This window comes from Homo sapiens, chromosome 6, assembly GCF_000001405.40.
Source record: "Homo sapiens chromosome 6, GRCh38.p14 Primary Assembly".
NCBI classification, from domain to species: domain Eukaryota; kingdom Metazoa; phylum Chordata; class Mammalia; order Primates; family Hominidae; genus Homo; species Homo sapiens.
Window position 1 is genome coordinate 27,116,627 of NC_000006.12, and position 21,246 is coordinate 27,137,872.

General features: G+C 40.3%; 2 protein-coding genes across 2 annotated transcripts, besides 10 other annotated features; one reads left to right on the plus strand and one right to left on the minus strand.

The window, feature by feature from the left end:
- Window positions 10,421-10,470: an enhancer, noted in NCBI's record as "active region_24260". NCBI's record gives its function as "activates an Ori minimal core promoter by ATAC-STARR-seq in GM12878 lymphoblastoid cells {active_cell/tissue: GM12878}" and the evidence as "EXISTENCE:reporter gene assay evidence [ECO:0000049][PMID:35858748]".
- Window positions 10,681-10,750: an enhancer, noted in NCBI's record as "active region_24261". NCBI's record gives its function as "activates an Ori minimal core promoter by ATAC-STARR-seq in GM12878 lymphoblastoid cells {active_cell/tissue: GM12878}" and the evidence as "EXISTENCE:reporter gene assay evidence [ECO:0000049][PMID:35858748]".
- Window positions 11,773-11,932: an enhancer, noted in NCBI's record as "active region_24262". NCBI's record gives its function as "activates an Ori minimal core promoter by ATAC-STARR-seq in GM12878 lymphoblastoid cells {active_cell/tissue: GM12878}" and the evidence as "EXISTENCE:reporter gene assay evidence [ECO:0000049][PMID:35858748]".
- Window positions 15,389-15,448: an enhancer, noted in NCBI's record as "active region_24263". NCBI's record gives its function as "activates an Ori minimal core promoter by ATAC-STARR-seq in GM12878 lymphoblastoid cells {active_cell/tissue: GM12878}" and the evidence as "EXISTENCE:reporter gene assay evidence [ECO:0000049][PMID:35858748]".
- H2BC11 (H2B clustered histone 11) lies at window positions 15,690-16,169 on the minus strand. The gene has a single exon (NM_021058.4). It carries the CDS (start codon window positions 16,122-16,124, stop codon window positions 15,744-15,746), a length of 381 nt encoding a protein of 126 aa, NP_066402.2. The 5' UTR covers window positions 16,125-16,169; the 3' UTR covers window positions 15,690-15,743.
- Window positions 15,789-15,858: an enhancer, noted in NCBI's record as "active region_24264". NCBI's record gives its function as "activates an Ori minimal core promoter by ATAC-STARR-seq in GM12878 lymphoblastoid cells {active_cell/tissue: GM12878}" and the evidence as "EXISTENCE:reporter gene assay evidence [ECO:0000049][PMID:35858748]".
- Window positions 15,869-15,938: an enhancer, noted in NCBI's record as "active region_24265". NCBI's record gives its function as "activates an Ori minimal core promoter by ATAC-STARR-seq in GM12878 lymphoblastoid cells {active_cell/tissue: GM12878}" and the evidence as "EXISTENCE:reporter gene assay evidence [ECO:0000049][PMID:35858748]".
- Window positions 16,070-16,583: an enhancer, noted in NCBI's record as "NANOG-H3K27ac-H3K4me1 hESC enhancer chr6:27100475-27100988 (GRCh37/hg19 assembly coordinates)". NCBI's record gives its function as "activates a minimal SCP1, AML or CMV promoter by ChIP-STARR-seq in primed H9 embryonic stem cells {active_cell/tissue: H9 hESC(primed)}" and the evidence as "EXISTENCE:reporter gene assay evidence [ECO:0000049][PMID:30033119]".
- Window positions 16,417-16,909, plus strand: H2AC11 (H2A clustered histone 11). Its single transcript, NM_021064.5, has one exon. The coding sequence runs from the start codon at window positions 16,446-16,448 to the stop codon at window positions 16,836-16,838; it is 393 nt and encodes a 130-aa protein (NP_066408.1). The 5' UTR covers window positions 16,417-16,445; the 3' UTR covers window positions 16,839-16,909.
- Window positions 16,549-16,888: an enhancer, noted in NCBI's record as "active region_24266". NCBI's record gives its function as "activates an Ori minimal core promoter by ATAC-STARR-seq in GM12878 lymphoblastoid cells {active_cell/tissue: GM12878}" and the evidence as "EXISTENCE:reporter gene assay evidence [ECO:0000049][PMID:35858748]".
- Window positions 16,549-17,099: a biological region, named in NCBI's record as "NANOG-H3K27ac-H3K4me1 hESC enhancer GRCh37_chr6:27100989-27101504".
- Window positions 16,584-17,099: an enhancer, noted in NCBI's record as "NANOG-H3K27ac-H3K4me1 hESC enhancer chr6:27100989-27101504 (GRCh37/hg19 assembly coordinates)". NCBI's record gives its function as "activates a minimal SCP1, AML or CMV promoter by ChIP-STARR-seq in primed H9 embryonic stem cells {active_cell/tissue: H9 hESC(primed)}" and the evidence as "EXISTENCE:reporter gene assay evidence [ECO:0000049][PMID:30033119]".

Consider the following 21,246-nt stretch of genomic DNA (forward strand, 5'->3'; position numbering starts at 1 on the left):
AATCAAGACACTGAACTTGCTGGGCACAGTGGTTCACGCCTGTAATCCCAGCACTTCAGGAGGCCGAGGCGGGCGAATCACCTGAGGTCAGGAGTTCGAGACCAGCCTGACTAACATGGTGAAACCCCATCTCTACTAAAAATACAAAAATTAGCCGGGCATGGTGGCATATGCCTGTAATCCCAACTACTCAGGAGGCTGAAGCAGGAGAATCACTTGAACCCGGGAGGCAGAGATGGCAGGGAGCCAAGATCACGCCATTGCACTCGAGCCTGGGCAACAGAGCAACACTCTGTCTCAAAAAAAAAAAAAAAAAAGTGAACTTATCACCTCTAAAATGTACTTGTCCCCCTTTGTAATACCTTTCTCCTATCTCACTTTGTCCCCCAACTCAAAGGAACCACTGATCTAACCTTTGTCACTGTAGATTAGTTTGTATTTTCTAGTTTTGTAAAAATAGAATCCAGTATGTACTGTATTTTGATCAGTTTCTTTTACTCAGCATAATTATTTACTCAGCAGTCCTTGCTGGTTTCATGATGTAAGTGGTCGTGTGGGGAAAGTCCACATGGCCAGGAGCTTCAAGCTCCTCTAGGAAGTGCGGGCAGCCTCTCAGAATTAAAGGCGTCTTCCAGCCAGCAACCAGCAAGAAGCGGGTGTCCTCATACCTAAAGCTGCAAGGAAATGAATTCCGCCAACAACCTGAGTGAGCTTGGACATGGATTCTTCCCCAGTCAAGTGTCTAGATGAGAATGCATCCTGGTGGGACACTTCAATTAGTCTTGTGAGACCCTAAGCAAAAGACCTAACTAAGTCATGCCCAGACTCCTGATCATTTATTATCCTGAGATAATAAACGTATGTTGTTTTGAGACCCTGAAGTTTGTGCTAATGTATTTTGCAGCAACAAAAAACTAACATATTTTAGGCTGGGCACAGTGGCTAACACTGTAATCCCAGTGCTTTGGGAGGCCTAGGTGGAAGGATCACTTGAGACCACTAGTTCAAGACCAGCCTGGGCAATAGTGAGAAACTGCACCACCCCCCCACAACCCCTCGTCTCCACAAAAAAATTTCTAAAAATTAGCTGGGTGTGGTGGCACACACTTATAGTCCCAGCTACTCAGGAGGCTGAGGCAGGAGGATGGTTTGAACCCAGAAGTTCAAGGCTACAGCGAGCTATGATTGCACCACTGTGCCCCAGCCTGGGTGACAAAGTGAGACTCCATCTCAAACAAAAAGAAAAAGAAGAGTAACATATTTTGAATCAACAGTTTGTTTCTTTTGTTGCTTAATAGTATTTCTTTGCAGGGATATACCACAATATTTTAGCCATTCATCTATTGATGAACATTTGGATTATTTCCAGATTTAACTAATACAAATAAAGCTGCTATGAGTATTTTTGTACAAATCTTTATATGGACACATATTTCCTTTTCTCTTGAGTAGATACCTAGAAGTGCCATGGCTGAATCATATGGTAGTATGATTAACAACATTAGTTATATGATTAACTTTTTAAGAACCTGTCAAAATGTTTTCCATAGTATTTACATGCATAGGACAAATTTATAAGAGTTCCAATTCCGCTATGTCCTTTCCAATACTTCACCCTCAGTCTTTTAAATTTTAGGCATTCTAATAGATGTGTAGTGGTATTTGATTGTGATTTTAGTTTGCATTTCCCAAATGACTGATATTCAAAGTATTTTCCTGTGCTTATTTGCTAACAATATGTTTTCTTTGAAGTGTCTGTTCATATCTTTTGCCCACTTATTTAATTGGGTTGTTTATCCTCTTAGTGTTGAGAGTACTATATTAAGTATTGTTCATTCTGGATACCAGTCCTTTATCAGGTAAGTGCATTTATAAGTATTTCCCCGAGTTTGTGGCCTGATTTTTCATTTTCTTAACACTGACTTTCAAAGAGCTATTTTTAATTTTGAAGAAATCCAATGCATGTTTGTTCTTTTATGAATTCTGCTGTCATATCTAAGAAATCTTTGCCTAATCCAGTGTCATAAAAATTTCTTACATTTTCTTGTAGAGGTCTTGTAGTTTTAGGTTTTATGTTTAAATGTATGAACTGTTTTAATTTTTGCAAGGTATAGACACAAGTTCATATATATATATAACATATTATATATATATATATTTTGCATGTGGATATTCAATTTTTCTAACACTACTTTTTGAAAAGACTATCCTTTCCACCAGGATGCCTTTGGGCCTCTTTCAAACATCAGTTGTTTATATACATGTTGGTTTGTTTCTGGATTCTCTATTGTGTTCCATTGACCTACTTGCCTATCTTACAACCATACCATGCTGTCTGGCTTTCTGAAGCTTTATAATAATTCTGTGAAATGAGGTAGTTGATAGCCATCCAGGTTTGTTCTTTTTCGGAGTTGTTTTGGCAACTGTAGATCCTTTTCATTTCCATATTAATTTTGGAATCAGATTGCCAATTTCTGCAAAGAAACCTCCTGGGTTTTGACTGGGTTAGTGTTGAATTTGTGTATTCGTTTGAGAATAATTGTTATCTTAACAATACTGAGTTTTCTGGCCTATAAGCAAGTTTTATCTCTCCAAGTATTAAAGTCTTCTTCAATTTCTCTCAGAAATATTTTGTAGTTTTCAGTGTATAGATATTTCACATCTTTTCTCAAACTTATCCCTAAGTATTTCATATTTTAGTTTTATTATAACTTTTTAAACATTTCTGATTGTTACTAGTATATACAAATGCAGTTTTTAATATTGATCTTGCATCCTACAGCCTTTCTGAACTCAACCATTAACTCTAGTAGCTTTTTGTACATTCTGATTTTCTACATGAGATGGCCATGTCATTTGAGAATAATAAGTGCTATCTTCACAATTTAGATGATTCTTCTTTCCTTCCATTGTTCCTTCTTTTCTTTCCTCTTTCTTTTTTCCCCTAATTTCACTAGCTAGAATTTCCAACATTGAATAGAAGTGGTGAAAGCAAACATGACTATCTTGTTTACGACCTTAGGGGGAAAACATTCAGTCTTTAAGTATAATCTTAGTTGTAGATTTTTTGTAAATACACTTTATCACATTAGGAAGTTCTCCTCTATTTCTAGTTTACTGAGAGTTTTCATCAGTAATGAATGTTGAATTATGTCAAATGCTTTTTCTGCCTTATAGTGTGACAGTCCTCCACCAGCTTGCTTAAGGGTGATATCTGCTACTTGAACCCTGAAGGCTGGGTGATAAGCCAAGACCATGGTACCCAGCTGAGGAGCAGGTATCCCTGAGAACCCAAACATCCCAGAGAGTATCTGATCAAGGAAAACAGTCTCCTTGCCTAAACACAGTAGGCAAAGACCAGAACATTAGCTTAAAAGCAGCTTAGAGATGGTGGCAACACAGCTCTCTAGAGCTGTCTTGCTGCCGTCCAGGAATGCCCTGTATATAAGTCCTAATAAACTCATCTACTTATCAAGCTGAACTTGTCCAAGTCATACTTTGGTCTCTCGGTTCCTTCTGAGTTTGGGAGAAATGTTACAGTCCCACGTTTTTCTTGTAACATTCCTCTGTTGAGATTTCTTAGTTTGTTAATATGGTATATTATGTTGATTGATTTTTCTAATGTTTAACCAACTCTACATTTTTTGGAAAAGCCAGGAATACTTGATCATGATGTATTATTCTTTTTACATATTACTGAATTTGAATTTTCTAAAATTTTGTTTAGAACCTTTGTATCTCTGTTCATGAAGGATATTGGTCAATAAGTTTCTTTGTTTATATTTGTCCAGTTCTAGTATCAAGATGATGTTGCCCTATGGAACGAATTAAGTTAACCAATATTTTAAGAAGCCAGATAGTAAATATTTTAGGCTGTGCAGACAATAAGGTCTCTGTCACAACAACTCAACTTTGCTGTTCTGGTGGGAAAGTAGACATAGATAATACACAAATAAGTGAATGTGGTTGTGTTCCAATAACACTTTTTTTGAAAATCAGGTGGTGGGTCATATTTGGTCTGTGGGCCATAGTTTGTTGACCTCTGAGTTAGGAAGTATTTCTTCCTGATTCTAACACTTCTATGAAAATGAAAAGCCAATTATAAAGAAGAACACAGTTGGAGAACTTACACTATAAGTTGCCAACCCCTATCTTAAACTATGGTAATGAGAATGATTGCTATTGAGCCAGAAACATGTGTGTAGTCACCTGATTCATGAGAAAGGTAACACTGCAGTGCAAGGGTTGTCTTTTCAACAAATTACGTTAGTTAGGTCAATGATATGTCCATATGGAAAAGTCCATATGGAAAAAATTGTTACAAATCGATAAGTACAAATAATTTAAAAATGGGCAAAGACATGAACATTCTCTTCCACTAAATGACATTCAATGTATATGAAGCATATGAATAGGTACACAATATTATGACTCATCAGGAAACTGAAAATGAAAGCAACAGTGAGATATCACTAACACATCCTATTCAGAAAGGCAAAACTTAAAGCCTAACAAGATAAAGGCAAAAATTTGAAGCAATTAAAATCATCTTATATTATAGGAGTTTGAATTGGTTTATACATTTTAGAAAAATATTTGTCAGTGTTTACTAAACCTAAATATATGGTTACCTTAAAAACTGTTAATTCCATTCCTATTATATGCTCAAAAGAAATGAGCACAGGCTGGGCGCAGTAGCTTATGCCTGTAATCCCAGCACTTTGGGAGGCCGAGGCGGGTGGATCACAAGGTCAGGAGATCAAGACAATCCTGGCTAACATAGTGAAACCCTATCTCTACTAAAAATACAAAAAATTAACCGGGCATGGTGGCACCCACCTGCAGTCCCAGCTACTCGGGAGGCTGAGGCAGGAGAATCACTTGAACCTGTGAGGCGGAGGTTGCAGTAAGCCGAGATTGTGCCACTGCACTCCAGCCTGGATGACAAACTGAGAATCCGTCTCAACAAAAGAAATGGGCACATATGTACACCAAAAAACATACACAAAAATATTCATAAAACTTATATTCATAATAGGGAAAAAGATAAGCTAAAAGCAACTGAAAAGTAACCAAGGCCATTACATTTTAAATTATTAACATTTCCTGAAATTGTCTTCTAAAACAATGTCTTCTTTTAATTCTTAAAAGTACAGATGAACACTTTAGTCCTAATGACATCATCATTTACAGAACATGGTGAGTTAACCAAATATTTTACCATGTATGTATAAATCTCAATAAAACAAAGAAGTTTTAGAATTCAAATCTATAAACTTTAAAGTATTGACTTTGTAACATGATTAATTTAAAAGTAAATTAAAATAAATGAGTTTGTGCCTGGCATCGTGGCTCACGTCTATATTCCCAGCATTTGGGAGGCTGAGATGGGCAGATCACCTGAGTTTGAGTTCGAAACCAGCCTCAACAACATGGAAAAACCCTGTCTTTACCAAAAAAAAAAAAAAAAAGAAAAAAAAATTGGCCAGGTATAGTCCCAGGTACTTGGGAGGCTGAGGTGGGAGGATCACTTGAGCCTGGGAGGCAGAGATTTCAGTGAGCCAAGAATGCATCATTGCACTCCAGCCTGAGCAACAGAGCCAGACCCTGCCTCAAAAAGAAAATATATATGTATATTAGTTTGATAAACTCCAATATAACTTTTTTACATAAAATTGATTTTTTAAGTTTATAAATATAAATATTTAAATATGATATTTAAATCCAATTTTGCTGGAAAGCCTAAACACAATGTGGAAGCTATTGACTTGTCCCATTATCAATCTTACATACTATTATAAAATAAATGATATACCATTATAGCTTCTCCCAACTATCCAAATGCTTATGGGTTAGGTGTGAAACCTACAAGATGAAGCAAATGAGGCTTTATCTAGGGGTGACAGTTTTATGGAAAGAAATGAGTATCAGGGAAGGCTACACAATGCAAAAACAAAATTCTGTGAGGACTTGAACCCAAGGCATTTTGCTTACCAGACAAGTAAGTTGAATGACAAAGCAACAATTCCCTGTCATAAAAGTTAATTTATTTGCTATTACAGTATAGACATTTTAAAACACACCAGAAGAATTTTAGAGTTTGAAAATGACAAGTTGCATTTTGTTTTGAGCAGGAAACATATCAAGACAAACTTCCTTCATACTAGACAGTATTGTAATCCCAGCGACTCAGGAGGCCCAAGCAGGAGGACCACTTCAGGCCAGGAATTTGAGATTAGCCTAGGAAACATAGCGAGACCTCGTCTCTAAGAAAATAAATTAGTCATTGTAGTAGCACACACCTGTAGTTCTAGCTACTTGGAAGGCTGAGGTAGGAGGATGACTTGAGCCCAGGAGTTTGAGGCTGCAGTGAACCATGATCACGCCACTGCACTCCAGCCTGGGTGATAGATCGAGACCCCATTTCTGGGAGGGTGGGAAAACCAGACATTGACAAGGCCTGAGCAGAGGAGGCTGCCAACTGTAGAAATTGCAAGTTATAAAGAAATTCTCTGTTTTCTACCTTGACAGCTATAAAAAGTCGCTCTAAAGAAAAAGAACCAGCTCTGGCCAGGCGCAGTGGCTCACACCTGTAATTCCAGCACTTTGGGACACCAAGGCAGGTGGATCACTTGAGGTCAGGAGTTTGAGACCAAGCCTGGCCAACATGGTGAAACCCTGTCTCTACTAAAAATACAAAAATTAGTGGAGTGTGGTGGTGCTCGCCTATAGTCCCAGCTCTCAGGAGGCTGAGGCAGAATTGCTTGAATCAGGGAGGCGGAGGTTGTGGTGAGTCAAGATTGCACCACTGCACTCCAGCCTGGGTGACAGAGTGAGAAAGAAAAGAAAAGAAGGAAAGAAAAGACAGGAAAACCAGTTATTTCCACTGTTTTCACAGAACAAATCAACAGACTGAAGTTTACTCGTGTCAACAGTGTGTGAGGTTACAATGTGATACTTACTATTCTTGAGATGGAAATGTTCAGAAAAGAAGCCACATAAAGCACATGGTGGAAGAGCAAAAATGCAAAACAGGCTTAAAGAACTGTGAGAGTTTAGAAAAAAGCAATAGATCAAAGGGATCAAGAATGGGCATTAGAAGATGAAACTGAAGACAGAATAGGGAGTAGGGGGTTCCAGGCATGGAAATAGGATATTCTGTATGAGGAAAAGAGAAGAACCTCTTTAGTTGGGCATGAAACATACATTCTAAGTAGAAATAATTTTTTTTTTCTTGAGATGACATCTAGCTCTGTCACCCAGGCTGGAGTGCAATGGCACAATCTTGGTTCACTGCAACCTCCGCCTCCCAGGTTCAAGCGATTCTCCTGCCTCAGCCTCCAAGTAGCTGGGATTACAGGTGCCCGCCACCACGCCCTGCTAATTTTTGTATTTTTAGTAGAGACGGGGTTTCACTGTGTTGGCCAGGCTGGTCTCTAACTCCTGACCTCGTGATCCGCCTGCCTTGGCCTCCCAAAGTGCTGGGATTACCGGCATGAGCCACCGTGCCTGGCCCGGTAGAAATAATTTTTAAAAACTTATCTGGAAAAATGTATATAGAAACAAGTAATGGTTTAAAACCCAGACTAAAAGGATACAAGCTCTTTTGAAAAACTTTGAGTAGAGAAGTTGCTTTCTCAGACTAAGCTTTGAAGTGTATTTCTTATCTGTCAGGAAGGTTGGAAGATGGCGAGCCTAGAAGTGGAGAAACCAGAAACTTTTCAAACAAGGAAGGGCCCCAGATGCTAGGCCATGTTCCTTCAGCCTCTGAAGTCAGCAGTGAATACATGTGACACAGGATTTCCTCCATAATGCTATGTGCCACGAATGCATGAAGGAATGAATGAAAAGAAAGCAAATGTGTGGGAATAATCTACAAGAGTTGGTAAGTCATTGGAGGTGGAGATGTATATCTAATGGGTGGGAATGCACAAATTTGTAAATATGTGTCAAGTGTACCATTGGGTACATGCGGACAAGGAATGTGGAGGGAACAGGAGCTGATACGTGAGAAGGAGCACATTTCAGAATCAAAACTATTCTGCTTTCTAGTACTGGCTTTGCCACTTATCAATCTTGTGACTTAAGGAAGTTTTCTACTCTGAGTCTCAGCTTCATCTCTAAAATGAGGATAATGATAACTGTTTGTGAAAAATATTAAGTTGGATAAAATAAAACAATGTAAATGACTCAATTTTTTTTTTCTGAGACAAAGTCTTCCTATGTCTCCCAGGCTGGAGTGCAGTGGTGTGATCTCGGCTCAGTGCAAGCTCCGCTTCCTGGGTTCACGTCATTCTTCTGCCTCAGCCTCCCAAGTAGCTGGGACTACAGGCTCCCGCCACCACGCCCGGCTAATTTTTTGTATTTTTAGTAGAGATGGGGTTTCACCGTGTTAGCCAGGATGGCCTCAATCTCCTGACCTCGTGATCCACCCACCTCGGCCTCCCAAAGTGCTGGGATTAGAGGCATTAGCCACCGTGCCTGGCCATGACTTACACTTTATTGTCCCCTAATACATAGCCCTGAATAGATGGCGGTGACTTTTTATAATAAGGTCCTTTTGGTGATATTTTCAAGAGGAGTGTCTCAGGCCATGTGGTTGCAAGTGCAGATTTAAAATAAGGAGAAATCTAGGCTAGAAACAAGTTTGCCAGCATTCATCCTTTCAGCTGTACTACGTCACCTACTCTGCACTAGGGCCAGAGAGGAAACAATGGCTGGTGAAAGAGCAACTGATATTTCTGAAGGCGGGAAGACATAAATAATTAGAACAAAAGAGAGGGTGAGCAAGGAATAGTGTTGACAGCGCAGCCCTCAAGTCTTGGGTCCTTCTAAGTGCAGGATGGAAAAGGAAGCATTGATGATACATAAATTCTTACAAGCCAATGTTTCTCTTCTAGGAGAAATGGAAACTCAGAAATCAGTGCTCTCAAAGAAGGGAAATTAGGTATGATTTCTTGGGAGCCACAACCCAACAAGGCTTTCCAAATAATACAGTCCTGAATTTGAGCCTCAGAGAAGGCAGGTATATTTTCAAGTCATGCACTGTATCAATTGCCTTTTTTTGGTACATAAAAGAAAATACTGTATATGCTAATAATCATTAACAAAAAAACATTCAGGTAAAAAGAAAAAATCTGAGTTTTAACAAAACTGAAAAACACTCAGAAGAGGACTATATGGAATGACAATTTGTTTTTCATCTTCTGGATCATCCCCTGAGGAAAGTAAAGAAATTTCCCTCAGGATATTCCAGTTGGCAACAGCAGAGCAGAGGAATATTACTTTATTCATTTATTCAGAGAAGTACTTTGCTGGGCACTGTTCTAGAAGCTGGGAAATACAAGTGATCAAAATATAACCTACCCCACAACTCCCAAATCCAGCTCGAAAAAACTTTTAGTGTGGAGGATGGGATAGTAAAGATAATAAGCCAATGAATAAGGAAAACATAGCATTTCAGATCTTTATATTATGATAAAAAAAAAAAAGTCCTAAATTGGAACAGGAAACACAGATGGGGTGGCTCAATTACAAGACAGCAGTTAAAGAAGGCCTCACTGACAAGATGAGTTCCCAGTGTCAGGACCCCAATATCCTTCCTTACAAAGAGTGGGGATCCCACCCTAGAAAAGGAATAGCAGTTCAGCCACCCCACAGCAGCTCTGGCATGGCTGTTTCTGGATACCTTCATGGAGAAATGCACACACTGCCCTTCATTTCAAAGATGAGCATCAGTCTCGTCTTCAGAGAAGATGCAGCCATTGTGGGGTTAGGGTTTCTCTCCTCAGGTCACTAGTGTAGATGCGCCTGCTGAGAAGTTTCAGCCACTCCACCTGCAATAAGAAAGACAGTTAATGAGAAAAGCAAGAGACAGAACCTGTGAAGAACATGTGACCATCAGTCATTTGAATGAAAGGGGGCAAATGTGAATGAAAGGGGACACATTTGTTTATTTGTGTTTGTATAAAGATATTCCAGACAGGTACACAGGAAACGAATAAAAGTGGTTAATTGTAGTATATCAAAGATAAAACACCAGGCCTTACTTTAAATGACGAAAACAGATTTTATTTAGTAACCACTGACAGTGGGGAACCATCTGGGTTTCATAACTGGCACATATCAAAATCAGGCTCCACTCCTACCAGAGCCTGGGAGACGAGGGCCCTATCTTCAGACGTTGACTGAAACAAACAGTAAATTCCTTTGGCGGCATCAATTGAGTTTTCTCAGGCAGGCACTTGAGAAGACCGGGGCTATTAGTAACTATGTTCGGGTTTGTTCAGGTCTTTATAGACCAAGGTGGCCACCTAGTCCAGAAGAGGGCTCAGAAGAAGCCGCCTAGAGTTTGGTCAAAAAGAGAATCTTTGCCAAGTAGATGGGGGAACTGGGCGGCTGGGGGCTGTTGGGGATGTGATGGTTTATAGTATTTCTTGTATATTCAATTATTAAACCGTAGCAATGAAATGCCTAATCGAAATCATAAAACGAAACAAAGTTTTGGCTACATTAGCCTATCCGTTATTGCCATAAGATGGCGACAGCCCTTCTCAACTCATAAAACTAAACAAAGTTTTAGCTACATTATCCCATCCATTATCGCCACAAGATGGCGATAGCGCTTCTCAACTCGCCTGCGGGACGGAGGCAGGGTGCGGCCCGGAGAACTCCTCCCTGTTCCAACAGCAGCTCTCCAGCCCGCAGCGCTTCCTGACGTTCCGTTAGTTCAGTCTCCTGAACTTCTCTGCATGTAGATTCCTCTCAGGGTAGCCCTTTGTTGACCAAAAACGAAATATGTTCACTGATTTGGCCAGCTTTTTTTTTTTTAACTTTTTTTTTGGAGGGGAAAGGGAGTGGTCATGGACATCCTGAAGCAGACACAAAAATATAGAGAATCCTGCACTTCCCAAGTCTCGTCGCACAGGCTTCAACAATTACCAACATCTTGCCCATTTTGTTTCATTATCCGCACCCACACTGACAGATGAGGGAGTCTAAAAAATATCTGAAACATGAAATCCCAAATATGTGATTTTAATCATGAATATTTTCACAAATATCCTAACAGATATGGATATAAAGAAAAAACGCTAAGATTTTACACCTAAGAAAATTTAAAAAATGATGTGTAACATTATCCAATACCTAGCCCTTAAAGAAAGAAAATCCTGAATTGTCTCAAATATTTTTATATTTTGTCTGAATGAGATCCCACCAGATCCAAATATGGCATTTGATTGCTGTTCCTCTTGAATGTATTAAAATCCATAGATTTACCCAAGTCTCCAAGTAGCCTGACTGCCCTTTGAAAAAGGAATTGAGACCATAATCTGGGTGGGAATTCTCACTGATCATGGATTGTCATTGCTTTTAAACCATTCTTTGAAAAGTGTTGGGGAAAAAATATTTTGTTTTCTTTCTTTTTTTTTTTTTTTTTTTTTTGAGACAGAGTCTCTCTCTGTTGCCCAGGCTGGAGTGCAGTAGCACGATTTCAGCTCATTGCAACCTCTGCCTTGCGAGTTCAAGTGATTTTCCTGCCTCAGGCTCCCAAGTAGCTGGGACTACAGGCACGCACCATCACGACTGGCTTATTTTTGTATTTTTAGTAAAGACCAGGTTTCACCATGTTGGCCAGGCTGATCTCTAACTCCTGACCTTACGTGATGTGCCTGCCTCAGCCTCCCAAAGTGCTGGGATTACATGCATGAGCCACTGCACCCAGTCAAAGGTATATTTTTTATGAGACTATTTTTAAAAACACTCAAATTGTCTGTCACAGCTCCTTGCCTATGCCCCTAAAAAGAGAGGGGAGGAGTGGGGGAAGGGGGGGAAACAGAAACAAAAAGAAAACTGACAAACAGAGGAGGAGTCCAAAAGCCCAACACCCATTAAGTCAAGACTTCCCACAGTTCTCTAAGCCAGCAAATGAATGTAATTTAAACTGCTTTAAACTTCATATAAAAATAAATCATTTTTGGTAAATCAATAAACAGAGGCATCTCCATGACTACTGGTGGGAGTATGTACTCCTCCTTTTCTAAAACAAAAAAAAACAGCAGGGAGCCCTGAGTTGGAAACATGAAAAGCATAACTTTTTTGAGTTGGCTATTATTAAGTGTAATATGAGAGGTACCACTCCATTCCTACCTCTCCTTTCTTTAACGAATGCATTTTGTCTACAGAAGAAATTATGCTTTTTCTTAGTCACTATTCAGCTCATCTATAACGTCCAAAATTGAACAGTACTTCAAGAGGGTGCTAAATGACTACATGCCACTTTAACTGAGTCTTCCAAAAATTCAGACTTCTGCTTATAAGGAATGTGGTACACATTAGGACTACCGAGTCTCATGGTCACCCATGCATTACCTTACCCTTTCTGTATAATGTATAGAAATGGGTCCAAAAAATGTTGAGATATGAGGTATAAAGCGTTCAGTAAGTTCACAGATGGTCCTGCTAGCAATAGCATGTAAGAAAGTGAAGCATATCGAAATCTAGAGTGTTTATCTCAGTGAAGACAAATCTCTGCCTCATCCATGACAAAATACTTGCAAGAATACAAGAATACTTCCCCTGACATATGGGACACTTAGCAGCAGCAGTATCCAGAGGTCAGCCTTGGTGAGCTAAGTCTATACTACAGAACTCAAGTATCACCTCTATCATTGCCTACCACCCTGGTCACAGTTTACAAGTAAATCACTTGGGCAATAAGTGGGGTGATAGGAAAAGAGACTACATGACAGCCATATGGTTGATGTGTACCTGATTGTTGATAGCCTCCTCTGAAGAGTGGGAATTTAGGTTAGCATTCACGTGGGATATTATTCTCATACTCTGGGACCATTCTGGGAAATTCATCCGTATCACTGTTCCCCAAAGCTTCCAGTCAACACAACCTCCACTTTTGCCCACTTAAAAAAATCTGTCTATCCAAACCATTAGCCATGTACATTCAGTTTAGATCAGTGTCTTAGGTCACTCTCCTTCTAGAAAAAGTAAACAATGACATTCAATACTCCAAATTGTGCTGAGTGGCAGCAATTCTTTTCCCTATTGCCATTTATGGACATACTTGAGTTACGGTTTCTAATACTACTGTTACAACCGGCATCAGTAGTATTAGCCAACATATATTGAATGCTTACTATGTACAGGACATTGTTCTAAGTATACCAAAACTATTTGCTCAAGAGGCACTGTTACATCCCCCTTTTTAAAATGAAGGAAAAAGCCAGAGGAAAAAAAAGGGAAAAAAGCCAATTCTTCAGGAACTGGTTAGTAATGGGTTGAACTTGCAGCATTCAGTTTTTCTTCTTTTTTTTTTTTTTTTTTTGAGACGGAGTCCCCTCTGTTGCCCAGGCTGGAATGCACTGACACGATCTCGGCTCACTGCAACCTATGCCTCCTGGGGTCAAGTGATTCTCCTGCCTCAGCCTCCCGAATAGCTGGGATTACAGGGTCCCACCAGCACATCAGGCTAATTTTTGTATTTTTAGTAGGGACGGGGTTTCACCATCCCCCAGGGGCAGGGGCTGCTCTCGATCTCCTGACCTCAAGTGATCTACCAGCCTTGGCCTCCCAAAGTTCTGGGATTACAGGCGTGAGCCACCCCGCCCAGTCCCATTCAGTTTTTCAAGCAAAGTATTAACTCTTTGTCCTTATTAAGGGGACACCAGCAAGATGAAAATAACCCATAAGGTGATCATTTGTTTCATTACCCCTTAGGCAGTTTAGTCTTCTGAGTAACAGGAGAATTAGCTGGGTTCTTTTCAACTTAACTTTGTATAGTTTTCGAAAACCTAGCCTTTACAAATTTTCACCTGTGGCTGGACAATATACCCATGAGTCAGTCGCAATCCTCCTTTTCTTACAAACCCTGCTTTTTATTCTGATTTCTATATCCTGTAAGACAAAGAAGCAAGTTATTTAGCTTGGAAATTATCATCTGACTATTTGGATTAATAGAGAGGGTCAGAGGCCCATGTAACATAACAATAATGTCATAAAAGTAATTTAAGTTCTGTTTATTCACAGAATTGATAACAGTTCAGTTATCCTTAGTACGGGATGATTATGGTGAAGGAAAAGAACTTGAGTGTATATTTTCTACATAGAAATATATACAACAAACCAGATAGCAATTCAGAGAGATACATATTTTAGAAACTCTACAGACAGTTTTCAAAGGCTGGACAAGTGTCCGAGAAAAAGCTAAAAAAACAGAAGAAATTTCATAAAGCAGGCAATATTTAACTGGGCTTTGAAAAAAACAGGACTTGAGTCAACAAGGGAAACGTGTGTATTTGATAGTGGATTTAACAAAAATACTAATTGTTTTAGATGTTATTACTGTGCTAAATTTAGATCCATTTTAAATAAACTAGATAGTAACTCAAGTTTATATACAATTACTACCTTTGAAACCAAAACCTAGTCATAGTGGGAGCTTCCAAATGCTTTATAGACCTTGGATTTTTACCTAAGAGACACATGACTGAAGTTACAACCTAGAGCAACATCGTTTGTTGGGTGACTGGTTCTCATTTGTGACAACCTGAATAAGGGGGAACTTGTTTTTCCTCACTTCTTCTAGGCAAAGTCAAAAACAGTATTTAAAATACTAACGAAAGGAGTTTTAAAATTGAAATTGACTTGTTTCAGAAAAGAGTCTGGGATAAATGTCCTCAAGCTTTCTGCCTTCATTACGCCCCGAATTGTCCTGTTTAGGCTTCTAATGCCTTTGCTTATATAGATATACCATAAAGGGAAAATAGTATTCTAATCAGAAATAAAGCATTGATCTTTCTCAGGCTGAAAACTACAGCATTCAAATTCCGTTGTAGCCGGGCTTGATGGCTCATGCCTGTAATCCTAGCACTTTAAGGCTGAGGCTAGTGGATCACCTGAAGTCAGTTCGAGACCAGCCTAGCCAACATGGTGAAACCCCATCTCTACTAAAAATACAAAAATTATCCGGGCATGGTGGCGCATGCCTGTAATCCCAGCTACACGGAAGGGTGAAGCAGGAGAATCGCTGGAACCCGGGAGGCGGAGGCTGCAGTGAGCTGAGATCGCGCCACCGCACTCCAGTCTGGGCGACAGAGGAAGTCTCCTTCTCAAAAAAAAAAAAACTGATTATGTTGCCATAAAGGGTCCCTTTAAAAAAAAAAACGCTCTATCCAACGAAAACTAATTAGAAATAAATCTCCTTCCCGAAAGCGATAAAATACTAAAGAATGAGAAACTGACAGTTTACTGAGTTTGTAAGGAAGGCCAAATAAAGGCGGGGTTTGGATTCCTTTGGCGCACCCAAGCCGACCGTGGACTTCCTGGATACAACAACCAATCAGGATGCAGAGGAAGGGCGGGCGTTGCCCGGGCAAATTCAAACTGACAACCGCTGCAACTTGGCACTGTTCCAAATCACTAACCGACGGGGGACCGACGAGTATTTTAATTGGTTTCTAACGTATTTTAATTGGTTTCGAACTTATAATAGAAAATTTCCCATCTCCTTACTTAACTCTAAGATTAGAATGGCAGATCTAAAAAAAAAAAGTCACTAAGGATTAGTTAAATAACTGCTCTACTTCAGACCAAAAAACACAGTAGCAAGTTACAAGGGTTTGTCAGTGGCCAGCAGAGGAGGAATACAAGCACCAGCTCTTTCTTTGAGAACATGGGTGGCTCTTAAAAGAGCCGTTAGGGTTGAGAGTTTGCAACCAACTCACTGTTTACTTAGCGCTGGTGTACTTGGTGACGGCCTTAGTACCCTCGGACACGGCGTGCTTGGCCAACTCCCCAGGCAGCAGCAGGCGCACGGCCGTCTGGATCTCCCTGGAGGTGATGGTCGAGCGCTTGTTGTAATGCGCCAGGCGGGAAGCCTCACCTGCGATGCGCTCGAAAATGTCGTTCACAAACGAATTCATGATGCCCATGGCCTTGGACGAAATGCCGGTGTCAGGGTGGACCTGCTTCAGAACCTTGTACACATAGATGGAATAGCTCTCCTTGCGGCTGCGCTTGCGCTTCTTGCCGTCTTTCTTCTGCGCCTTAGTCACCGCCTTCTTGGAGCCCTTTTTCGGGGCGGGAGCAGACTTCGCTGGCTCTGGCATAGCACTGTGTAGCTATAAAGCGCCAACGAAAAGGAAAAACAGCGTGAGCAGGGTATGACAAGGCGCTTTTATATAGAATCGCTTATGCAAATAAGGTGAAGAGTTGAAGTCTTGTGTCTGATTGGTAGTTATTCAGGGTAACGTCAGAGGTCAGGTCTGCCCAATCAGGATTCGCAAATCCAGAAGACGCACTACTATTGGTTGAAATTAAACTGCAGCCCTAACCAACAACACGTCTTCTTTTTCGCGCCCAATAGTGTTTATAAAAAGCGCCGCCTTTCCCGTTCACTTTGTGGTTGCTCGTAGTGAGTTGCGCTCGCTATGTCTGGACGTGGCAAGCAGGGAGGCAAAGCCCGCGCTAAGGCCAAGACTCGCTCTTCTAGGGCCGGTCTCCAGTTCCCCGTGGGCCGAGTGCACCGCCTGCTCCGCAAAGGCAACTATGCCGAGCGGGTCGGGGCCGGCGCGCCGGTGTATCTGGCAGCGGTGCTGGAGTACCTGACCGCCGAGATCCTGGAACTGGCGGGCAACGCGGCCCGCGACAACAAGAAGACCCGCATCATCCCGCGTCATCTCCAACTGGCCATCCGCAACGACGAGGAGCTCAACAAGCTGCTGGGCAAAGTCACCATCGCACAGGGCGGTGTCCTGCCCAACATTCAGGCCGTGCTACTGCCCAAAAAGACTGAGAGCCACCACAAGGCGAAGGGCAAGTAACTATCTGTACTAGTTTGTGGCAGCTCAAGTAAAATCGAGTCCAAACCAACGGCTCTTTTCAGGGCCACCCACGTCTTCTCTAAAAGAACTTAACATTTATTCCATGTGAAAGAAAGTGAGACATGGACAAGACTCTAGTCATAAATTACCCATCTTTTTGAAAACAGTGTAGCGAACACCGCAGATTTAAAAGAAAAACTAGAGGGAAGGTGGTCCAGATTTTACCACGCTTAAAAGTTAAGATGTGAACAAATCTCTTAGGCCATTACTTAATTTTAAACTTAATCAGTGTGTGTCCACAGAGCACCAGTGGCTTCGTGAGTTCTTGAAGCACTTTGGCCCAAAAGAGTTATCGCCCGGGCTAGAATTTAGCAGACAGCTGTTCCACGCGGGCCAGGGCGGCATGAAGAAGTCCCGCCGCTACGTGCCCGGCACAGTGGCCCTGCGCGACGTTCGGCGCTACCAGAACTCCGAGCTGCTGATCAGCAAGCTGCCGCTCCTGCGAGAGCTCGGCGGTGACGCCGCTGCACGAGAGCGAGGCTGAAGAACTTTGTGACACAATAGTCCACCTCCCTGCAAAGGCTCTGTCAGAGACTCACATCTTTCCTGATGGATAGCTGTGAAGCATTCTCTTACCCACCCTACTGCATGTTGCAAAGTATTCCTTTAAAATGAAGTGAGTAAAATACTGGGATGACGTTATCTGGAGCCCAAGAAAGATGGCTCATTTGGAAAGGCCTAATATCCCAAGTTGCTTACCTAGAAGAACTTGACAGGATAGTTAATAATAAACCTTAAAACCCATGAAGAAATCTGAGGTAAAGTGTTAGCACACAGACTGTTAAAATGTCTGCCTCACAGATAGGAGGGAAAATATATAGAGGATTATAATATGGTTCAACAAATGTTGATGAGTATTAGAAATGTACATTAGAAATATTAGAAATGTTTATGACTATTAGAAAAGTACAGGGTATTGGGCGTTCCTGACACAAACTGAGGCCTCCTAGCAAGACTGGCAGTTTTCTGTAAAGGAGGGTTATTTACTACGGTAGTGCAAATAACTTTTGGTGTTGTAGCTAAATAAGGAATACTCATGCCAAGATTGCACAATTGTGCCTCCTCCCTCTGTTCACTGAACTCTGATGTAATTTTTTTTTTTTTTTTGAGACGGAGTCTCGCTCTGTCGCCCAGGCTGGAGTGCAGTGGCGCTATCTCGGCTCACTGCAAGCTCCGCCTCCCGGGTTCACGCCATTCTCCTGCCTCAGCCTCCTGAGTAGCTGGGGCTACAGGCGTCTGCCACCATGCCCAGCTACTTTTTTGTATTTTTAGTAGATACGGGGTTTCACCGTGTTAGCCAGGATGGTCTTGATGTCCTGACCTCGTGATCCACCGGCCTCGGCCTCCCAAAGTGCTGGGATTACCGGCGTAAGCCACCACGCCCGGCCCACTCTGAAGTAATCTTAAGAAGACGTTAACTCATTTTTCTTGTGTATTGTAGACACTTTTGGCTGTCTGGTAACATGGAAAATCTCAGAATGATGTTTTAAGTATATAAAATGCCAAACAAAGTTAAATTACAGTTATCAAAGTATTTTTAAAACTTCATAGTGATAAATGAGACTATATAGTTATATTGTTAATATAGTTAACACATTACATGATTTGGTGAGCCTAATTGCTGTTACTAATTAGAGGAGTAAAAATGTTTCACGATAACTCAGCAATTGTAATGAGAAATGAAACATCTAATGTCTTTTGGGTTACAAAGTAACAGGTACTGAGATTTGTGGCCTAAATTCATAATAAAGTGAAATGTTCAAGTTCAGTCAAGGTTAAGTTTTTAAAAATAGATATTTTACTACCCAAACTCACAGACTTCCCCTTCAACACCCTCCAATTGCTGAATTTTTTCCTTAGGGGCATTGTGACATATAAGTACGGACCTCAGGTTAAAAACTCTTGCTCTAAAATTTGGTCAACCTACCCCATTTCTTTTCAGCTCCTTTTCTCTAGATACCTCCTCTTCCTATCTGGAATTTCTTTAGCACTTAGTCTACTGACATCTCATAACCTTTTACTGTGTCTGTTTCTTGTTCTTAAAATATAACTACTTCCAATCCTAGTATAAATACGATGTTTTGGAACAGAAACAAGTGCTGACAATATCTAGCAAAAATAGGTACTTGAGAGGCCCCCCAAATAGTAAAATATTTGGCTTTTTGATGGATTTTTATACTGTGTAACCCAATAATTTTACTCATTTTTGAATTGCCCTGTCTTTAAAGGTCTTTCAACTTATTTAAATTAATATTTAATAAATTTCACAATTAAATATACAGTGGTTGGACACAGGATGTACTTTGCAAGTGTAACTGTTACTGGAAAGGGGTCCCAATCCAGACCCCAAGAGAGAGTTCTTGGGTCTTTCTCAAGAAAGAATTCAAGGCAAATCCATAGAGTACAGTGAAAGCAAGTTTATTAGAGAAGTAAAGAAAATTGTTCTTTTGTTCTATTCTAAGGATATTTATAGTTATTTCTTGACTACATGCTAAACAAGGGGTGGATTCTTCATGAGTTTTCTGGGAACGGGGTGGGCAATTCCCCAACTGAGAGTTCCTCCCCCTTTTAGACCCTATAGGGTAACTTTCCGACGTTGCCATGGCATCTGTAAATGGTCATGGCACTGGTAGGAGTGTCTTTTAGCATGCTAATGCATTATAAGTAGTGTATAATGAGCAGTGAGGATAACCAGAGGTCAATTTCCTCACCATCTTGATTTTGGTAGGTTTTGGCTGGCTTCTTTACCGCATGCTTTTATTAGCAAGGTCTTTGTGACCTGTACTTTGTGCTGACCTATTCTGTGACTACAAATGCCTTAAGCCTCTGGGAATGCAGCCCAGTAGGCCTCAGCCTTATTTTACCCAGCCCCTATTCAAGATGGAGTTTCTCTGGTTTAAACGCCTCTGACAAAGTTTGCTGCCAGATTTGTTTTGTAATGTGAAAGAATGTGAGAACTCAGAGTTACTCTATTTGAACTAAGTTTATCTTGATAGTCAGTTATCCTGTTAGAAAACAGACTGATTAGCATAACATTTTTTTAAAATGTTATACTGCGTGTATGTTTACTATTTCAGAACTAAATTTACCGTCAATTTCAGAAACTAAAGAGTCTGACAAACTCAAATATCCTTGTAGGGGAGGCAAAATTTTACCTCTGTCCTCTTAAGAGTTTTTATGGCTGGCCTGATAATTAAACTGACATAAGATTAAGAGGAGAAAACCATATAAATTTAATATAAATTTTATGTGGCATGGGACATGGGAGCTCTAATAATAGACCCCAAAGAAGTAGCAAAACCTAAATGCTTTTATAGTAGGTTGAATGGAGTAAATTGTGGAAATGTAACTATGTAGGAAGGCTAAAGGAAAACAAGAATTATTTTAAGATCTGCTTGGACAGAATTCTCTTGGTTTCAACTTCCTGTCCTTGATGAAAATGTTCTTTTCCTTTTGGTACAGGGAGGACATCTTCCACAGGGGAATTTTAATTCCTGCTTTTAAGGGGGTAAAAGGGAACGGTCAAAGTGCCTTTCTTGTACCTACTCTTTTTAAAATTGCCTGTATCTCAGAATAATTCTTATTCCAAAATGGCATATTTTGGGATGGCATGCTCTGCCACCTTTTACCATTCATTGCTATCCTTGTCACTAATTGCTATGCGAAAACTCATGAAATCAGATACAGAAAAAGGCTTCTGATTAGTGAGAAGCTCAAGTAGAGAAATATACTTGTTAACTAATGTTGGGGAAATACAATTTTAAAATCTTCTCCCAAAGAAGACAAAGGAAATAATTTTATTATTGAATAAGCATTAAACCAGGGAGAGTTGCTTATCACAGGAAACCTTATGAAGAGGTTGCAAAAGCAGAAAGAAATCTTGCTTATTATGTATGGCTACATTGGATAGGTTTTGCAATTCGAAGTCAGGTGACAGCTAAAGTTCAGCCCATTTTCTCGCTGGAAACTGGGAGACAGACCACTATCTTTTTTAATGATTAACATTTCAAAGGGATGGCTCTCCAGGCATTGAGAAAATATTCTGAGTTATAAGGCCTATTTAGCCATTAAAAGGATTTACATACATTTTAAAAGGACAGAGAAAGACATTTTGAAAGTGATGGGAAAGGAAAGGGAAGTCTTTTGTTTTCAACAGATAATTAAGCCTCTCATTTTTAATTTGTATTTACCCTTAGATTAACGTATTCAATTAACCTATGCTACCTTACCCTCTTTACAACATATACTGAATTCAGCTACAGCAAGTTACAGCCAGTCATATCAATTTTTTTTTGTTTTCCAAAGGTGTATGGCAAGTTTTCTTTTATTGCAACATAAATGCAAAAAT